General features: G+C 51.1%; 1 protein-coding gene across 10 annotated transcripts in view, besides 1 other annotated feature; it reads right to left on the minus strand.

Annotated features, from left to right (window-relative positions):
• CPT1A (carnitine palmitoyltransferase 1A) overlaps positions 1–21,313 on the minus strand; it is an 89,658-nt gene that overhangs the window by 53,861 nt on the left and 14,484 nt on the right. For all 10 annotated transcript variants that reach the window (NM_001031847.3, NM_001440360.1, NM_001440363.1 and 7 more), the window contains 2 exons: positions 6,854–7,007; positions 3,957–4,096 (listed from right to left, as the gene is read on the minus strand). In NM_001031847.3, coding sequence (NP_001027017.1) covers positions 3,957–4,096; positions 6,854–6,994 — 281 coding nt within the window. In that variant the 5' untranslated portion in view covers positions 6,995–7,007. The remainder of the gene's footprint in view (positions 1–3,956; positions 4,097–6,853; positions 7,008–21,313) is intronic.
• Positions 17,496–17,555: an enhancer, noted in NCBI's record as "active region_5141". NCBI's record gives its function as "activates an Ori minimal core promoter by ATAC-STARR-seq in GM12878 lymphoblastoid cells {active_cell/tissue: GM12878}" and the evidence as "EXISTENCE:reporter gene assay evidence [ECO:0000049][PMID:35858748]".

Below are 21,313 nucleotides of genomic sequence, written 5' to 3' on the forward strand. Positions count from 1 at the left end.
CCCATCTCAGCCTCCTGAGTAGCTGGGATTACAGGTGCGCACCACCACATCCAACTAATTTTTGTATTTTTTGTAGAGATGGGGTCTTGCCATGTTGCCCAGGCTGGTTTCAAACTCCTGTCAGGTGATCCACCCGCCTCGGCCTCCCAAAGTGCTGGGATTATAGGTGTGTGCCACTGTGCCTGGCCAGAAATGCAGCTATTTTGTGGTTTGTTTTAGTTTTGGTTGTTTTGGGAACTGCAAAATATTTTTTAAATGAAAACTATTTAAGCATGCTTCAAATGATTAAAACACCAATATATATAACCTAAAGGTGTCCCTAATATTTGAAAAGCACTAATTTGGCCAGGTGCAGTGGCTCAAGTCTATAATCCCAGCACTTTGGGAGGCTGAGATGGGTGGATCACTTGGGTCCAGGAGTTCGAGACCAGCCTGGACAACATGGCAAAACCCCATCAATACAAAAATAAAATTTAAAAAAGAAAATAAAATAAGAAATAAAAAATAATAAAAATAAAAAATAATAAATATTTCTTCAAAATAAGAAATAAAAAAAGAAAACCACTAATTTAACACTGCATAATATTTAAGTGGACAAAAACAAATTATCTTCAAGGTTATATACTCTTTGCTCCAAAATGTATATCTTTCTATAACCCGTGAAATCTAGCACTGGAGTTTCACTGTAGTCTCTTCTTTAAACCTATACACTCTTTTCTGGTCATCTAACCTATAAACAAACTTGGGTTTAGGGATTTAAGAAGCTATCTTTTAGATAATCTACATTTTAGATTACTGAAAGAAAAAGACCTATATACTTACTTGATTTGCAAAAATAAAAATATTTTAGCATAAACAAATAAATGACACATTCAAGATTTTTAAAAGTATAGACATAGAGGCACTCAGATAAAAAACGTTAGCAAAAAGCTTTCTTTGAAAGGACATGCTCCTTACAAGGCTGTCGGGGACAAACTCAGAGACAAACCTCACATGACACGGATGACTCCACTTTTTTATTCTTTCTTTTTTTTAAGAGATAGGGTCTCACTATGTTGCTCAGGCTGATCTTGAACTCCTGGGCTCAAGCAATCCTCCTGCCTCGGCCTCCCAAAGTGCTGGAATTACAGGCCACCGCACCCAGCCTGACTCCACTTTTGAAGGCAGCAGCCCAGAGATACTGCAGATCCCCTCCAGGACAGGAAATGGCCCATGAGGCTGGAAGACGTTGGCCCTTAACCCGGCCTTTCTAAATTTAGGCCAGGGATGGCCCAGTTTACCAAAATAGGTTTAAGAGGTACAAAGAAACAAATCTTACAAAGACCCAGATTATTAAGGGCTTTAAACAGTCAACACTTCTATATATAATCCAGTTTTAAGAGAGCGCCTACACTAGAGAGTAAATTAAAGAACTGGCCTGGGTGCAGTGGCTCACGCCTGTAATCCCAGCACTTTGGGAGGACAAGGCGGGTGGATCACTTGAGGTCAGGAGTTCAAGACCAGCCTGGCCAACACGGCGAAACCCCATCTCTATCAAAAATACAAAAATTGGTTGGGCATGGTGGCATGTGCCTGCAGTCCCAGGTACTCAAGAGGCTGAGGCAGGAGAATCACTTGAACCTGGGAAGCGGAGCTTGCAGTGTGCCGAGATCGCACCACTGCACTCCAGCCTGGGTGACAGAGTGAGACTCTATCTCAAAAAGAAAAAAAAGAAGATATTCATTAGCCCCATGAGAGAATGAAAAGTACGTAGGAACAGCTCCAGACACAAGGCTCGGAGGCAGCTACCCACCGCAGGCCTGTGGGTCCTGGGACCTCAAGGAAGAGAGCAGCCAGGCCTGCCCTGAGCACCCAGGTCTGCCAGCTGCTTTCTGAGTGACAGCAATGACAGCAGTACCCAGGCAGACAAGGAACCTGGCAGGCGTCCCAGCCAGGCATGCTTCTGCTAAAATGACTGGGAACTTTTATTATGTTTCTTGCAGACTCTTATAGAGGCCTGAGCCAGCGTTCCTGAGCTACCTCAAGGTTGCAAGCAACTCAGCTGGACGCTCGATGACTCTGGAGGGTCCAGGGGCTTCCTGGAGAAGGAACAGGATGTGGAGGGGTCCTCTGCAGACCCTTCGCAAAAAGAGGTTCAGGAATCAGGGCACTTGCTCAAGCTGTCATCAGGAGACTCAGACCATTAATCTGCTTAATCTTTTATTTCTAGTCATCAGAATCAAGGCTGGGCATGGTGGCTCACACCTGTAATCCCAGGACTTTGGGAGGCCGAGGCGAGTGGACCACCTGAGGTCAATAGTTCGAGATCAGCCTGGCCAACATGGTGAAACCTCATCTCTACAAAACATACAAAAATTAGCCAGGCATGGTGGCGGACACCTGTAATCCCAGCTACTCAGGAGGCTGAGGCAGGAGAATTGCTTGAACCCGGGAGGCGGAGGTTGCAGTGAGCCGAGATCGCACCATCGCACTCCAGCCTGGGCAACGGAGCAAAAACTCCATTTCCAAAAAAAAATCAAATTCAGCCGTTAACTGTGAGTGAGTTTTCGTTTACGTCTCTTTTTCTGCCGGTTTATTTTCTTATTTCTTTCTGATTAAACAATATTTATATGCAAACAACCTGGAAGGCGTGACTATAAAGATCCAGAGCTTCGTTTTTTAGCTTAGCCCAGACCCGGCATTGTGCCTTCCACCTGCAATTCCTGGCCCCAAAACAAAGCCCAATTATGAGGAGTTGGTGGCTATTATTGACCTCAGGTGATCGACCCACCTCGGTCTCCCAAAGTCCTGGGATTACAGGTGTGAACCACCGTGTCCAAATGGCAAAAATGCCATTGGTGTAAACAAGCAGCACAGAAATCGAATCAAACGTCTGGCACGGGGCAGCAGGGACACTTCCGAGACACTGTGGAGCTTTCAGACCCGAAAGTAAAATGTGTGTCCAAGCCCAAGGGTCACGGCTGCACGAGGAAGCTGAGTTGCCCTGCGTTCCACTGTCTGGACGTTCAAATGGTGGTAAAGCAGCGGTGTTCACTCGCATTTGTCTCACAGAAGCTTCTGGGGCAGGGGGTGGGGGGACCTCAGTGCTACACTGAAGAAAGCACAGATTTCAGAGCTGCGCAGAGCTGGGTTTGAACTCTAGCTTCCCCGCTCCCTCTTCCTGTGACTTGGGCAGACACCTGCACCTGTCTGAATGCTTTCTCACTGGTAAAAGGGACCCTAATGAGAGGTCACTGCAGTGCAGGCTCTGACCTTCCTAGATGGGAGTCTGGGCCATCTCCAGAACTGGATGGAATAACAGACATCACAGGTGTGCAATAAACATGTGCTATCAACAGGCGGCAGGTGGTTAGAAAAAAAAAATAAAATGAACATGTGCTGAATGTTACCTAAGGTGTCTCTGGGCTTATCTCTTGGTAGCAAGAAATAAGCCCCAGGAAAATCCAAAACCCTAGAGGTAGGAGGGACGGGGGGGTCCCTGGAGATTTCTAAACCATTCTGACAGAGTTAAGTGGGTGAGGTCCCTGCAGAGGACCCCACAGCAGTCAGTTCAAGGGTCACAGAACTCTGGAATGAACAGACTCCAAGTGCAAAGAAATGACTACATGGGGAATCAGCCCTTTGAGCAGAAATTCCATTTCAGAGCCCTATTGGCCAGGCTAAGGGCACTGTCATTATTGACCAAACCCTCGGGCCCTGACACCTTCCAAGGGGTGCCCCAGGGCCACTACCACTCTTCTCACCCTGGTCTACAGAGGAAAGGCCGCAGGGGACCGCAAACTCCTAGGGGGACCTTAACAGCACCCAGGAGACAGGAAGAAAGCTGACGTGAGAACAGCATCAGGAGCTTCATATGGAATCCAGAACAGTGACAATCATCACATTTGAAGAGACATAAAAACAGCAATAAAATCGGTAACTTCCCAGACAATTGGAGATTTCACAGGATTACTTACGCCGTTTCCAGAGTCCGATTGATTTTTGCAATTATTCCTAACGAGGGGTCGATCTTGGCGTACATCGTTGTCATCACGCCCACCACCACGATAAGCCAACTGGAGGGGCTTGCCGGGTACACGCCAGTGATGATGCCGTTCTAAAGACAGACACCCGGGCCGTGAGCGGTGTCCTCCCACAACCCACAGGGCAATGACGCTTCATGGCCCCTGGCAGCAGGGCTGCTGGGACAGCAGGCAGTGAGAAGAGGGTGTGGACAGCGTGCGTGCACTGAGAAACCACACCCCACTAGCTGGGACTCTCCCCAGAGTTTACAGCCTGCAGTGATTCCAGTTTCCTCCCTTCCACTACTTCCGAGCCAAAACCCACCCTGAAAGCTTCCCCAAGAGTCGACGCCCCGGGCCATGATAATCAGCCCAGGCACTAGTTTAGCTGGTGAAGGACGTCACTGAGCCACCATGACGTCCTGTCCCCAGCCTGCTACTGTCTAGAATGCCCCGAGACCCCGGTTCCAAAACTGCTCCTCTTGCCGCCCCTGTGTCAGAAGGGCTGCTTAACCCTGAAGATTTCATGGGAGACCTCACCCCATGTCGAGAATTTGCTGTAAAATACTCCAGCCAAAAAAAAAAAAGGATTATATCAAACAAAATTGGCAAAATTGTTGAAACAAGGAAGGGAATGGTGGGGATCTTTAATCAGTCCTCTTCACTCTTGTGTATGTTTGACAACTCCAATTAAAAAAAATTCTTCCTAAACCATCCTAATAAGATATTGATTTCACCAAGATAATGGATTAAAAATGACCAAAGCAGGCCAGGTGCGGTGGCTCACACCTGTAACCCCAGCACTTTGGGAGGCTGAGGCAGGCCGATCACTTGAGGTAAGGAGTTTGAAACCAGCCTGACCAACATGGTGAAATCCTGTTTCTACTAAAAATACAAAAAATTAGCCAGGTGTGGTGGTGGGCGCCTATAGTCCCAGCTACTCAGGAGGCTGAAGCAGAAGAATCACTGAGCCCAGGAGGCGGAGGTTGCAGTGAGCCAAGGTTGTGCCATTGCACTCCAACCTGGGCAACAGAGTGAGGCTCTGTCCAAAAAAAAAAAAAAAAAAAAAAATTAGCCGGGCATTGTGGTGTGCACCTATGGTCCCAACTACTTGGGTGGATGAGACAGGAGGATTGCCTGAGCCCAGTGAGGCTACAGTGAGCCGTGATCGCACCACTGCACTCCACCCTGAGCAACAGAGCAAGACCCTGTCTCAAAAAAAAAAAAGAGGGGAGGGGAGGGGAGAGGGAGAACAACATTCCCACTGGGTTGAATATGATGGCCAAGCCTCTGCATCCAAGTTTCTATTTTCCCAGATTCCAAGGTGAAAAAGAGCAGCTCTCGGCGAGCCGAGCTAGTGCCTCAGTGAAATCTCGGATGTCACCTTGGTGGGTTATTTATCTGGGCCCAAGAACCCACAGGCTGAGCCCCAGGGACACCCGTGCAGCTGTACTGGCTCCCAGGGGCTTGCCCGCCATGCTGTCCCTGCTGCCACCTGCTCTTGAGCTTAGGCCTTTCTCAGTGGCCCACTTCAGTGCCGCCCTCGGAGAAGGAGCACCGGGAAGTGCACAAACTGAACTGAGTTACCGCTGGGGCTGGCAGGGGGGTCAGCGGGGGGGGATTTCCACTTTTGACTTGATGAACTTTCACCTAGTTTGCATGTTTTCAAACATGCACTTGTTCCTTCTATGATGTTTAAAATAAATTAAAATACATGGAAAAACAAGACACTTACTTAAAAAAGAACAAAGTTCTACTTCTTTAGATAAACAGAATTGAGAACATGTGGACTCAACTGTATTTGAACTTGTGGAGAGTTTCTTTTTTTTTGTTTGTTTTTTTTGAGACAGAGTCTCGCTCTCTCACCCAGGCTGGAGTGCAGTGGCGCGATCTCGGCTCACTGCAAGCTCCGCCTCCCGGGTTCGTGCCATTCTCCTGCCTCAGCCTCCCGAGTAGCTGGGACTGCAGGCGCCCGCCACCACGCCCGGCTAATTTTTTGTATTTTTTAGTAGAGACGGGGGTTTCACCATGTTAGCCAGGATGGTCTCGATCTCCTGACCTCGTGATCCACCCGCCTCGGCCTCCCAAAGTGCTGGGATTACAGGTGTGAGCCACTGCACCCGGACCTTATGCAGAGAGTTTCTAATGTGTGAATGTTTTATAAACAAAGTAGTTATTACATCCACTTGCTGAAGTTTGGAAAAAATATTTTTTTGTTTTTTTGAGACAAAGTCTCGCTCTGTTGCCCAGGCTGGAGTGTGGTGGCTCAATCATGGCTCACTGCAGTCTCTGCCTCCCAGGTTCAAGTGATCCTCCCACCTCAGCCTCCTGAGTAGCTGGGACTACAGGTGCATGCCAACATACCTGCCTAATTTTTCTATTTTTTGTAGAGATGGGGTTTTGTCGTGTCACCCAGGCTGGTCTTAAACTCCTGAGCTCAAGCAATCCGCCCACCTCAGCTTCCCAAAGTGCAGGGATTATAGGTGTGAGCCACTGCACCTGGCCTGGAAAAATCCTATTTGAACAAGGTGTAAAGGATTCTGACTCAGAGCAGAAGATGTGAATTCTAGTCTTTACTCTGCCTCCTATTAAGTAGGTCGCTGGCCCTTTAAGCCTCGATTTCCCAGCCTGCTTTAACGCATGCCAAGTCCCTCCACCTGCCTAATGGAACTGCTCCAAGCATCCAGTGAGCTAAAGTCTATGTGACGGTGTCCCCAAGCCTTAAGTACCATGGAAACAGGTAAGTGATATGCAGTCGCCAGTCTGAAACACGTAGACCTCAATAGCAGCCAGAGCCCCGTTCTTAGATATTAAAAGGCATACTGTGTAGATTTCAACAAATCTCAGAAAACCTTGAATCTGATGAACTTCTTTTTCCAGGAATGAAGTCCAGAGAGATAGATTTGTCTAAGAGCTTCATGGCTCAGCCGCAGGTCAATCCCGTCCGGAGTGACCGTGAACTGAAAGGCCACAGCTTGGTGAGCTTCTGCCATCTTCAGAGAGTACCTGGAAGGAGAAGGAGAAAATGTAACACAGTGGAACGTGTGACCAGACACTAAAAAACCCTCATACAGAAGTGCCATTCCTTCTGAACTTAAGTTCTTCCTCGCCACTTAACAGATTTAATACTTTTCATCAACAGACCAATTCCATCACCACAGCTGGCACCCCCTTGCCTGTCCACCGCTACAAAGACAGTCGCCACCTCTGCTTAGAGCCCCAAGATGATCATCAGGAGTCAGGCCCGTGGTACCCCAACCCTGGCCCTGGACATTCCCTGGAACCACGCCTCCAAGCCAGCATCCAGGCCCGTGGTACCTCAACTCTGGCCCTGGACGTCCCCCAGAACCACGCCTCCAAGCCAGCATCCAGGCCCGTGGTACCCCAACCCTGGCCCTGGACGTCCCCCGGAACCATGCCTCCAAGCCAGCATCCAGGCCCGTGGTACCCCAACCCTGGCCCTGGACATTCCCGGGAACCACGCCTCCAAGCCAGCATCCAGGCCCGTGGTACCCCAACCCTGGCCCTGGACGTCCCCCGGAACCACGCCTCCAAGCCAGCATCCAGGCCACACCTACTGACGTAAAGCCCACGGCGCTTCAGCAACTCGCACAGCACAGACAAATCTCAATCTTGCAGCCAGGCCCTTGGAGGCTGGCATTAGAAGAGGCCCAGAGTGTCCACGCAGGAGTCCACGAAGGAGCCCACGACAGCCCTAGACTCTGAACTTCGAGCGCAGATCAATCCCAAATGCCTCTGCCTCTGGTGTCTGTGTGGCTGCTCTTTCGAGAAACTGTTCTAGGGTTTCGGAGAGACCCACGAAGACTCCATGAGTCATATGCGCAGACACCTCAAGAATGGGTGTCCACAGACGGAGCGGGCCTTCTTCCTTGGAGGCAGCGGCTGAAACGGAACGTGCCTTGGCGGCCCCACGGGCTAAACGGATCCCGGGGCGCTGCAGTCCAGACCCAAGCACAGCCCCTGGGGAGAGCATCCCCTGGCCGGCTGCAGAAAACTGCTTCCGGATCTGCTACATTCTTCCTGTACCCTTCATCCTGGCTCCGGCCGCCTTCCTTCAGGCTCCTTGGCACAGCCGCTCAGCACAACACAGCCCACCCCCATCCCCTCCTGGACCCCCCGGGGTGGTGGCTCCTGCCCTTCTCACGGTGCCTCCTCCACCTCCTCCCAAGCTGCCTGCCACAAAGTACTAAATGGATAAAAGAGAAGCTAAGAGGAAAAAACTTTCAAGGACCATAATAAAAATCCAAAAACTCGTGTGTGTGTGTGTGTGTGTGTGTGGTGTGTGTGTGTATACGTGTGTGTGGTATGTGTGTGTGGTGTGTGTGGTGTATGTGTGTGGTGTGTGCGTGTGTGGTGTGTGTGTGTGGTGTACATGTGTATATGTGTGTGTGGTGTGTGTGGGTGTGTGTGTGGTGTGTGTGTGGGTGTGTGTGTGGGGTGAGTGTGTGTGGTGTGTATGGTGTGTGTGTGGTGTGGGGGGGTGCGTGGGTGTGTGTGTGGTATGTGTGGGGGGTGGGTGTGTGTGTGGGTGTGTGGTGATGTGTGGTTGTGTGGGGGGTGGGTGTGTGTGGGTGCGTGTGTGTGGTTGTGTGTGTGTGGTGTGTGTGTGTGGGTGTGTGGTGATGTGTGGTTGTGTGGGGGTGTGTGTGTCTGTGTGTGTGTGTGTGGTGTGTGTGTGTGGGTGTGTGTGCGTGTTCTCACCACAGGATGATTTTCCTGTTTTCGCCCACTGATGCCCTCTGAAGGTGAGATCAAAATCAGTGGCTATCACAGTTTCAAAGATCCCCTGTTACAGAAATCAGCCTGACTCAGTCCTCCACCAGCCAAAACACAGAACCATCCGCTGGCAGGCCCTAGAAAGGCACCCGACTTCAGACATCTGTCCATATTACAAATATTTGTTGACTGCCTCCAACGTGCCAGCCGAGGAGAAGAGCTGCACACCAGCAGAAAAGGTCCCTCTGCCCTCCCACAGCTTAGACCGGGCTAACAAGCAACGCAGGAGCAGTGCTCTGGTGCAGGAAGGGGAGAAGCCGAGGGGACCTCTCAGGAGACAGGGAAGCCAGGAGAAGGAGCAACCATGGGAAGAGCAGGCAAGAGCTGGAGGCAGGAAGGGCAGGAGGATGGGGTCAAGGGCAGGAAGCTGGGGTCAAGGGCAGGAGGCTGGGGGTCAAGGGCAGGTGTCTGGGGTCAAGGGCAGGTGGCTGGGGTCAAGGGCAGGGTGGCTGGGGGTCAAGGACAGGCTGTTGGGGGGGGGTCAGTGGCGGGACAGCTAAGGTCAAGAGCAGGCCAGCGGGGTCAAGGGCAGGGTGTCGGGTCAAAAGCAGGTGTCTGGGGTCAAAGGCAGGGTAGCTGGGGTCAAGGGTAGGGTGTCTGGGGTCAAGCACAGGTGGCTGGGGTCGACAGGGTGTCTGGGTTCAAGGACAGGGGGCCTAGTTTGGAGAGGAAGGCAGAGGCAGCCGGTGGGAGGTGGCAGGGTTTTGTGCTAGCAATGGAGAAGCATCCAAGGGCCCAGAGAAAGGGGAACCTGCCACTGTTTCTTTTCTAAAGACCACTCTGGCTGCTGTATGGAGTATGGATGGGGATGGGGAAGCAGGACCAGTTAAGAAGCTGAGGCTGTCTTCCAGGAAGGTGCATGGGCCTGGCCCACTCTGTCAGTGACAGGGACAGTGACAGTGTGGACAATGACCCACACAAGACAGTCTGCAGAGGCACCTTGAGCTGCACTTGCTGGTGAAATGGGCCCTCGGGCTCCTGTCTTGAGCCACCCACTCAGTGAAGCCAGGTACTGACAAGGGACAGTCTCAGGGAGGGAAGGAGGCAGGCTGGGGCAGAAGCTGAGAATTCATGCCTGGACCTGCCACATGTGAAATGTCACCAGGACATCCGGGTGGAGATGCCCCACATCGCCAGAGCAAGGGAGGAGCTGGGCAAGACGACACACCCGGGAGGTATCAGCACAGAACCTGCCAGCTCTGCCTCAATGACTCGGAAAGAGTAATTTGGCAAAACTACCTTCCACCAGCTATAACTTCAGCTTAGAGCAATTTGCAAAGCAATCGACAATATGTATGGGCCAGGCACGATGGCTCATACCTGTAATCCCAGCACTTTGGGAGGCTGACGTGGGAGGATCGCTTGAGTCCAGGAACTCAAGACCAGCCTGGGCAACATGGCGAAACCCCGTCTCTGAAAAAAATAAAAAATTAGCCAGGTGTGGTGGCATGGGCCTGTAGTCCCAGCTACTTGGGAAGCTGAGGCAGGAGGATCCCTTGAGCTCAGGAGGTAGAGGCTACAGTGAGCCATGATCACGCCATTATACTCCAGCCAGGGCGACAGAGTGAGACCCTATCTCAACAACAACAACAACAAAACAACAGTATTTACATATTATTTAGTAGGCACGCAGCCAACTCCCACGGCCTGGCCAGTTTTAAAGGAATGGATCCCATTTTTGAAAGCAGCAAGATCACCAAGCAGATGTTTGCCATGGGTTGAAGAGGGCATCAAAGCAAGCAGCTCTGAACCATTTCTCAAAAAGCTATCTAAGCAGCTGTAAGACTCCCGTGGAGTCTCAAGGTTAACTTTTTTTTTGAGACGGAGTCTCACTCTGTCGCCCAGGCTGGAGTGCAGCGGCGCCATCTCAGCTCACTGCAACTTCCACCTCCCGGGTTCAAGCGATTCTCATGCTTCAGCCTCCCGAGTAGCTGGGCTTACAAGTGCCTGCCACCACGCCTGGCTAATTTTTTCTATTTTTAGTGGAGACAGGGTTTCACCATGTTGGCCAGGCTGTTCCCGAACTGCTGAGCTCAAATGATCCGCCCACCTCGGCCTCCCAAAGTGCCGGGATTACTGCTATGAGCCACCACGCCCCGCCTCAAGGTTAACTCTTAGCCCCCTTCCCCATCAAAGCCTTCGCAGTAACCATGAGGAAGGCATCCCAGAAGAGGACTCTGCAAAGCATGCACCGTGGCAAATAAAGTGACGTGACTGGCTACCTCTGCACGATTGATAAGATCTCCTGGGCTTCATACAGAACACAAAGGCATTATTCATGGCAGTGGATTAAATATAGCGTCTGTAGCCAAGTCCCTCCAAAGTTATGTATCCAACACTTGCTCAGAAATCTAACCTCTGATAGGAAGAGTCAGACTGGAGGTAATTATAGTGTCCTTTCTAGGAGTGAAACGCCCTCGCAGAGCGATCTGAGTTTAATGAAGGACTTGTTTATTTGGACTGGTTCAGGGTAACCCTAAGAGTTCTAAATGCCCCTAAGGTGCACAATTTGTTTTTCTACTTCTGCAGGAGCTGAGATGGGCTGTCCTGACCTAGCCTCTCCCTCTTTGAGCCATGAGCAGAAATGAGTGAATCCAACAAGGGCCAGAGGAGCTCCCTGTGCAAATGTAATGAGCGCAAATCCCACCCTGGGTTCTGGCCTGGATCAGTGGCCTTATGCTTAAAAACACTGATATAGCCGCACCTACAGCAGTCCCCTCTCAGCTACAGTTTGCACGTTTGTTTGTTTGTTTGTTTGTTTGTTTGTTTGAGACAGGGTCTCGCTGTATTGCCCAGGCTGGAGTGCAGTGGCACGATCATGGCTCACTGCAGCCTCTACTCCCCAAGCTCAGGTGATCCTCCCACCTCAGCCTCCTGAGTAGCTGGGACTAATAGGCATGCACCACCATGCTCAGCTAATTTATGTATTTTTTTGTAGAGACAGCGTTTCACCACCTTGCCCAGACTGGTCTCGAACTCCTGGACTCAAGTGATCCACCCATCTCAGCCTCCCAAAGTACCGGGATTACAGGTGTGAGCCACCATGTCTAGTGATTTTGCTTTTTGAAGTCTCAGTTATCCATGGTCAACCACCATCTGAAAATATTAAATGGAAAACTCCAGGCTTGGTGCGGTGGCTCATGCCTGTAATCCCAGCACTTTGGGAGGCCCAGGTGGGTGGATCACTTGAGGTCAGGGGTTCGAGACCAGCCTGGCCAACATGGCGAAACCCTGTCTTTACTAAAAATACAAAAATTAGCTGGGCATGGTGGTGCATGCCTGTAATCCCAGCTACTTGGGAAGCTGAGGCAGGAGAATTGCCTGAACTGGGAGGCAGAGGTTTCAGTGAGCTGAGATTGCACCACTGCACTTCAGCCTGGGGTACAGAGTGAGACTCCATCTCAAAAAAGAAAAAAAATCATAGTTTTCGATTGTGCAGCATTCTGAGCAGTATGATGAAAACTCCCACCGTCCCACTCCCTCCTTCCAGGGACGTGAATCACCCCTTTGCCCAGGCTACCCATGCTGTCAACACTCCCTGCCTACAGGGAGTTACTACACAGTAGTACTACACAGGAAAACACCTCGTATACACATCTGTCCCCCGGAATCTGAGGGGGACTAGTTGCAGGACCCCCATGCTTACCAAAACCCATGAATGTGCAGTCCCTTATAGAAAATAGTGTAGTATTTGCAAATAACCTACACACATCCTCCTGTATATATATTTTTTTGAGACACAGTCTCGCTCTGTCCCCCAGGTGGGAGTTCAGTGGTGCAATCTCGGGTTCAAGTGATTCTCCTGCCTTAACCTCTAGAGTAGCTGGGACTACAGGCATGTGCCACCATGTCTGGCTAATTTTTGTATTTTTATTTTATTTATTTATTTTTGAGACGGAGTTTTGCTCTTGTTGCCCAGGTTGGAGTGCAATGGCACAGTCTCGGCTCACTGCACCCTCTGCCTCCTGGGTTCAAGTGATTCTCCTGCCTCAGCCTCCTGAGTAGCTGGGATTACAGGCCCCCACCACCACGACTGGCTAATTTTTGTATTTTTAGTAGAGACAGGGTTTCAGTACGTTGGCCAGGCTGGCCTTGAACTCCTGACCTCAGGTGATCCACCCGCCTCAGCCTCCCAAAGTGCTGGGATTACAGGCGTGAGCCACCGCGCCCGGCCTACATTTTTGTATTTTGAGTAGAGACCTGGTTTCCCCACGTTGGCCAGGCTGGTCTCAAACTCCTGACTTTAGGTGATCCACCCACCTCGGCCTCCCAAAGTGCTGGGATTAACAGGTGTGAGCCACCGCGCCCAACCCTCCTGTATACTTTAAGTCATCTCTAGATTACTTACAATAATGAATACCTTATAAATGCTATGTAAACAGTTGTTATGCTGTATTTTTATTTTGTATTATTTTTTGTTATTATTTAGGTTTTTTCTTTTTCCCCAAATGTTTTCAATCCTTGGTTGGTTAAATCCACAGAAGCAGAGCCTGAGGATACAAAGCTGACCGTATAGGTTTGGTTCTGTCCGCAAATTCAGGCACCCACCAGGGGTCTTGGAATGTATCCCCCCAAGGATAAGGGGGGACCACTGCAAGTGTAAGACTGCCTCCTGTGGCCAATAGGGAGTGCAGATCTAAACCATAGGAAAACACCACTTCACACTCAGGAGGATGGCTAGTATCACAAAGATGGATGATAGCAAGTGTTGGTGAGGATGTGGAGAAATCAGAATTCTCATGCATGGCTGGTCAAATGGTGCAGCCACGTTGGCAAACAGTCTGTCCGTTCCTCAAAAGCTTAAATACAGAGTTACTGGCCTGGCACCGTGGCTCACACCTGCAATCCCAGCATTTTGGGAGGCCAAAGCAGAAAGACTGCTTTAGGCCAGGAGTTCCAGACCAGCCTGCGCAACATGGCAAGCCCCTGTCTCTGTATAATAAACAAAAATAAAAAAAAAAATAAAAATTGGGCCAGGTGCAGTGGCTCACCCCTGTAATCCCAGCACTTCGCAAGGCCAAGACAGGAGGATTGCTTTGGCTCAGGAGTTCGAGACCAGCCTGGGGAACATGGCAAGACCTCATCTCTATTAAAAATCAAAGAAATTACCCAGGCATGGTAGTGCATTGCTGTAACCCTAGCAACTTGGGAGGCTGAGGCAGGAGGATCGCTTGAGCCCAGGAAGTGGAGGCTGCAATGAGCTGTGATTGCACCACTGCACTCCAGCCTGGGCAACAGGGGAGATCCTGTCTTAAAAAAAAAAAAGAAAATTGTAGAAAAATAGACTTACCATACGACCCAGCAATTCCATTTCTACATATATACCCAAGAGAACTGAAAACATGTCCATACAAAAGTCTGCACACGAACACTCACAACATCATTCATGATAGCCAAAAAGTGGCAATACATTCTGCTGATGAATGGATAAATATAATGTGGTCCATCCATACTGTGGAATAGTATTCAGCAATGAAAAGGAATGGACCTCCGACACCTGCTGCAACATGGATGGACCCTGAAGACGTGATGCTGAGTGAAAGAAGCCATACAGAAGGTCATATATTGCTGATTCTATTTATTCTAAATGTCTGGAACAAGCAAATCTACAGAGACAGAAAGTACACTAGTGGTTGCCGGGGGCTTGGAGCAGATGGGAAGATAGGGAGGTCATGGGTAAGGAGTTGGGGGTATCTTCTTAGGGTGATGAAAACATTCCAAAATTGATTGTGGTGATAGTTGCACAACTCTGTGAATATACTAAAAACCACTGAAAGCCTGGGCAACATGGCGAAACCCTGTCTCTGCAAAAACTACAAAAATTAGATGGGTGCGGTGATGTGTGCCTGTAGTCCCAGCTACTAAGGAGGCTGAGGTGGGAGGATCACTTGAGCCTGGAAGTTCGAAGCTGCAGTGAGCCGTGACTGCACCACTGCATTCCAGCCTGGGCAACAGAGCAAGACCCTGTCTCAAAAAAAACCCAAACTCACCGAAGTGTACATTTTAGATGGGTGAATTTTATGGTATATGAATCTCTCAATAAAGCTGTTACCAAAAAATACTGTCTGAAGAAGTGTTATCTATTTAATGTCTATGCACCTAACCATTCTCTCCTCAAATATATGATGGTGGGGGTGGATATGTTATTATTTTCTTCCATATCCTGTCCACCATAATGCTCTGGTCACATTAAGGACTCATTCAGCAGCCATAAAAAAGAATGAAATTGGCCGGGCACGGTGGTTCACGCCTGTAATCCCAGCACTTTGGGAGGCCGAGGCGGGAGGATCAACTGAGGTCAGGAGTTCGAGAACAGCCTGACCGACATGGAGAAACCCCATCTCTCCTAAAAAATACAAAATTAGCCGGGCATGGTGGTGCATGCCTGTAATCCCAGCTACTCGGGAGGCCAAGGCAGGAGAATCACTTGAACCCAGGAGGCAGAGGTTGCAGTGAGCTGAGATCATGCCATTGCACTCCAGCCTGGGCAACAAGAACAAAACTCTGTCTCAAAAGAAAGAAAGAAAGAAAGAAAGAAATCATGTCCCTTGCAGTAATATGGATGCAACTGGAGGCCTTTATCCTAAGTGAACTCACTCAGAAACAGAAAACCAAATACCGCATGTTCTCACCTATAAGTGGCAGCTAAACAATGGGTACCCATAGACATAAAGATGGAAGTGACAGGCCGGGTGCGGTGGCTCACGCCTGTAATCCCAGCACTTTGGGAGGCCGAGGTGGGCAGATCACCTGAGGTCAGGAGTTTGAGACCAGCCTGGACAACATGGTGAAACCCCATCTCTACTAAAAATACCAAAAATTAGCCAGGCGCGGTGGCAGACGCCTGTAATCCCAGCTACTTGGGAGGCTGAAGCAGGAGAATCGCTTGAACCTGGGAGGCGGAGGTTGCAGTGAGCTGAGATCGGGCCACTGCACTCCAGCCTGGGGGACAAGAGCAAAGCTCCATCTCAAAAAAAAAAAAAAAAAAGAGAAAAAAGATGGAAATAACAGACATTGGGGATTCCAAAAGGGAAGGGAGGCAGCAGGGCAAGGGCTGAAAAATTACCTATCAGGTACAATGTTCACTCTCTTCCCTTTCATGGAGGGCACTCTGGGTACACCAGAAACCCAACCCCACCAGTATGCAAAATGCCTGTGTAACAAACAGGCACGTGTACCCCCAAATCTAAAATTAAATTAAATTTAAAAAAAGACTCATTCAAAACAACTGTTACCTCATGGCATTAAGGAATTTCTGTGAATTATCTTTTAGGTATTACAAGATATTGTGGTTATGTTTTTTAAGAGACAGAGTCTCGCTCTGCTGCCCAGGCTGGAGTGCAGTGGCACAATCACAGCTCACTGCAGCTCTGGGTTCAAGCAATCCTCCTGCCTCAGCCTCCTGAGTAGTTGAGACCGTGGGTGTGAGCCATGGCACTCAGGCAGTGGTTATTTTTAAAAAGGGTTCCCATCTTTTATTGATACATCCTAACATATTGCTACATGCAATTGTATCTTTTTTTTTTTTTTTTTTTGAGACTGTTGAGTCTTGCTCTGTCGCCTAGGCTGGAATGCAGTAGCACGATCTAGGCTCACGTTAACCTTTGCCTCCCGGGTTCAAGCAATTCTCCTGCCTCAGCCTCCCCAGTAGCTGAGACTACAGACACCCGACACTGCACCCAGCTGATTTTTGTATTTTCAATATAGCCCAGATTACACCGTGTTGGCCAGGCTGGTCTTGAACTCCTGACCTCAGGTGATCTGCCCAACTCGGCCTCCCAAAGTGCTGTGAGCCACTGTGCCCAGCCTAATTTTATCTTTTATCATATCTGGGACTTGCTTCAAAATCACTTGGGGTGGGAAAAATGGAGGGACGGGTAGGAAGGAGCCATGTGTGAGAACGGGTGAAGGGCAGGGCTGTGCAAGCCCGGTAGGTAAGTGTCTCTTCTACGCACATTTGAGATCTCCTGATGTTTTAGAATGTGTTGAATGAAATGAAACATTCATCTGCTGCAATTGGAGCTCAAAAATCTCATGTTTGGAGAGCTCCTCAGATACTCCAAGTGCCCCAGGTGCCCACCTCCCAGGAAGGGAAGCACACACTTCTCACCCCATAGCCCACCCAATACAACAGGGCTGGCAGCAGAGAAACGGCGTAACCCATCCGGAGCCAGGGAAGATAAAACCAGGAGGAGCAAAGGTTTCCGGGGCCAGAGCATGTGGAAAGTTGGCCATGCCCAAGCCCCCTTACCCCGTCCCCACTACCCACAATCTGGAAATACCTGAACAGTCACCACCTGCTTGCCCAACCCAACAGGATTTTTATGACCCTGGTGTAAAAAGGATGAGAAAGGAAAAGCAGGGCCTCCCCCCAGTGCCCGCCTCCCCGAGTGCCCGCCTCCCTCCAGTGCCTGCCCCCCACCTCACCCAGCCAGCCTCTTCCAGGTGCTTCCTCTTCAGGCAGGAGGCCACACTCCTGGCCCACGCAGGGACTTCACCTCTCCCCAGAAGAGGGCACACCTGCTCCCTGCCTTTCACCCAGCTGGGAGTGGATGCAGAGTGGCAGCTTCTCCCACCTCTGAGTCACCGGAAACAAAGCCGGGGGACTGCAGAAGACACGGGCACCATGGCTTCACAGAGGCCAACCCACCCCAGTGAGTGCCACCCAGCTCCTGGGCCAGCCTCACTCACTCCAGACACAGGGCAGAGGGTTCCTAATGTCTCTAAAACCGAGGAACTCATAAGAATGGTAACCAGATAAAGCCATTCGCACCACACCCGCCTTCCCTCCCTGGCCCTGGAGAGTAGAGGGCCCCAGACCAGAGTCTGAGAGTGGTCAGCACGTTTCCTGCCTTGATGTACCCCCGCACTGAAAGCCAACCTGAGGCCGGGCACTGTGGCTCAGGCCTGTAATCCCAGCACTTTGGGAGGCCAAGGTGGGAGGATCACTGTAGGTCAGGAGTTCGAGACCAGCCTGGCCAACATGGTGAAACCCTGTCACTACTAAAAATACAAAAATTAGCCGGATCTGGTGGTGCACGCCTGTATTCCCAGCTAACTGGGAGGCTGAGGCAGGAGAATTGCTTGAACCCGGGAGGCAGAGGTTGCAGTGAGCCGAGACCAGGCCACTGCACTCCTAGGTGAGAGAGTGAGACTCCGTCTCAAAAAAAAAAAGGTCAGGCGCGGTGGCTCACGCCTGTAATCCCAGCACTTTGGGAGGCCGAGGGGGGCAGATCATGAGGTCAGGAGGTAGAGACCATCGTCGCTAACACGGTGAAACCCCATCTCTACTAAAAATACAAAAAAAAAATTAGCCGGGCGTGGTGGCGGGCGCCTGTAGTCCCAGCTACTCGGGAGGCTGAGGGAGGAGAATGGCGTGAACCCGGGAGCCGGAGCTTGCAGTGAGCTGAGATCAGGCTACTGCACTACTGGGTGAGAGAGTGAGACTCCCTGTCAAAAAAAAAAAAAGAAAACCAACCTGGCCCTCAGCGTGACTTTCTGTAACATACTTTACTTAGCACAAACGGGATTCCTCAAAGTAAATCGGGTCTGCGGCCTCACCACACTGGCATAAACAGGACTGGGACTACAGGTGGCTAACCTCACCTTCCTGGAAACAGACAGCAGCCAGGTGAGGCAGGTGAGCAGCTGAGACTGGGATGGGCAGACGACAAGCCCAGGGCCAAGGGCGCAAAGCTCTTCCAAGGACCTGGTGCTTAGGGAGGAGGAGTGGGGGTGAGGTGGGGTGTCCAGGTGGAAGAACGCCAGTCACTAATAAATTCCTGGACCTCAGATAAGCCTCACAAAAACTTTGGGAGGCCAAGGCGGGCAGATCGCTTGAGCCCAGGAGTTTGAGACCAGCCTGAGCAATGTGGAAAATCTCATCTCTACTAAAAATACAAAAATAAACCAGGCGCGGTGGTGAGCACCTGTAGTCCCAGCTACTTGGGAGGCTGAAGGGCGAGGCTCACACAAGCCCGGGAGGTTGAGGCTACAGTGAGCCATGATCACACCACTGCACTCCAGCCTGGGCGACAGAACGAGATCTTGTCTCAAAACATACACATACACAAGCTCCAGTGAACTTTACTATATTATACAGCAAGACTGTTTTCTGTCTTAAATGCTTTAAATCATAAGATAACCGCAAACACACAGGCAAGCAGAGAATAACACCTGTGTACCCTCCTGGAATCAACAAATTTAACATTTTGCTGTATTGATTTAGAATGTCCCCCCTACCCCACCCCACCCCCACCAGTTTGTTTGTTTATTTTTGTTTTTGTAGAGATGGGATCTCACTATGTTGCCCAGGCTGGTCTTGAACTCCTGGACTCAAGCAGTCCTTCCTCTTTGGCCTCCCAAGCTGCTGAGATTACAGGTGCCCAGCCCTGCAAAAATTTCTAAGATGCAATAGATACAACCTCCTCTCCCTGTCCCCAGAATGCGGGGCTCATCTTTCCCTACGTATTTGAGTATCTACAAGTGCATACAGTGCCACCATACACGTGCGAGGCACACACAAATGCTGCCTACTCTGTGCGCGGTCCTGCAACTTGCTTCTCGTCCACATTGAGTTCCAAGCTGCCCCATGCCCACCTACACAGCCCTGGCCCTGCTGTCCTGCACCCCCCTGCTGGCAGGAACCAGTCTGCTCTTGTGTCCCTGCTGGGGCTCAGGGAACTTCTCTGTTCACTTTTTCACTGTTGCAAACAAAGAAGCAGACAGTGGCCTTGTCCATGTTGCAGCATCGTATTTTAATGGGAGTAGAAAAAGAGCATAGTGTTCGTGGGCACCCCTGGCCTCTGGGGCAGACTTCCTTATGCCTGCCCTGCCCTGCCTGCTCTACCAAAGTTCCAGCTCCTTCTTGATGTGGTCATCCTGCCCTCTTTGCCCTTGCTGAAGTCCCACCAGCTGCTCGACACCCCATCTCCCTGTGTCTCCCAAGTCAGCTTTCCCAAGGCGTCTGAGTGCCCTGCCCACCTCGCCATCGCTGCCACATCGGCCCCAGCCAGGGGCTTCTTGGAGAGGGGGGCATACTCCACCACTTTGCAGCCTGTGTTCCTTCCGCTTCTGTGTGTCCAGAATGGGCCACCTGTCCGCTACAGCCAGGCCTGGGTCAGGGCCCCCCACCTCCCACCTGCGTGGGAGTCCCTCACCAGGCTCACTGCGTCTTCCCCTCCCCAGCACCTTTCATCGAGGGCAGGAGGCCAGGGCACCCATGTGTTACAACTCCCCTTCCCGGAAGCCTTCCCTGGGGTCTTGGGCACACCCTGCCAGACTGGGCACTGTGGCTGGGAGCCCCAGCACGCTGGGAGAAGGGCCCTTAGGCCAGCTGGCAGCCAGGCCTGCGTCTGGATCCAGGCCACCAACACTGGGCAGCCTCTTTGCTCACCCCTTCAGCCTTCCTGAGGCTGTAGTGAGGAGGGTGGCAGGGGCATGGCATGGCCTGAGGCTTGGGCAAGCGTCCGCCTCCTCTGGCTGGTGGGGGCTCTGCCACATCCCACTCACGGTGTACAACTAAACCGTTAGTCTCTGTGGGCCAGCCCCACTTCCCGTTCCTTCTTCCTCCTGGGGGAGGCCACCAGGCACGCAAGCTGGCCCCGGTCCATCTGCTGCTGCCTTGGGCCCCTCTGGCTTCTGAACTAGTAGGTGGCTCCCCCTGCACCCTGGGAGTCAGCCAGCCCCCCAGGACTTTAGCTTCAACCTGAGCACACTGCACCTGACCTTCCAAGCACGTCTTCACCCAGCCAAAACTTCACCAGCTGACAATGAATCTCACCACCTGTCCACGTGCCCGCATCCTCCCCAGGGTTTCTCTTACTGAGAACGCCGGCACCTGCCCTGCCTGGGAAGAAGCAGGGATGGACTAGGGGTGTTCACTCCAGTCCCCAGAACCTGCTGATGTGAAGGTCCCCGGGCCGCGTGTCCCACCAGCAACACGTCTGCTCTACAGCCCAGCCTTCCTTTCTCCAAGCCACCCCCATACAGAGACTTCCCAGAGAGACCTGCCCAACGGCTCTTTAATCCACGTCACCCCAGGGGCCGGCCTATCTGCAGCCCCTCTCCTTCTGTGATTTTCTTCCATGCCCAGGTATCGGAGACATATCACAGCCCTGGTGGGAAAAGGTGGTGTCCCGGGGGACAAAGTTTACACAGCGTGACCATTGGGATCCAAGCTGCACAGCAGGGCGTGCACCTGTGCCCCAAGTTCAAGGATGGCTAGAGGAGAGAACGCTTTTACTGGAAAGGCAGAAAAGAGGAGGAAGAAAAGTTAAAAGGAAGAAATGAGAAAATACAGAAAAATACAGATGGATGAAAAGGGAACTTAACCTCTCCCCTGTCACTCACTCGTTCCCACAAATCATCGCGGAGCCCTCGGACGGGAATCCCGAACTAGCCCTGGGAATGGACTCGTGGAGGAGGCAGCTCTGGGTAAGTAAAACAGGAGGACCCTTGGGTGCTGTTCCTGAGCTAAGACCCCTCCTTGCTGTGTGCCCCTGGGCCAGCTATGG

Source organism: Homo sapiens, chromosome 11 (assembly GCF_000001405.40).
Source record: "Homo sapiens chromosome 11, GRCh38.p14 Primary Assembly".
In the NCBI taxonomy this organism is placed as follows: Eukaryota; Metazoa; Chordata; class Mammalia; order Primates; family Hominidae; genus Homo; species Homo sapiens.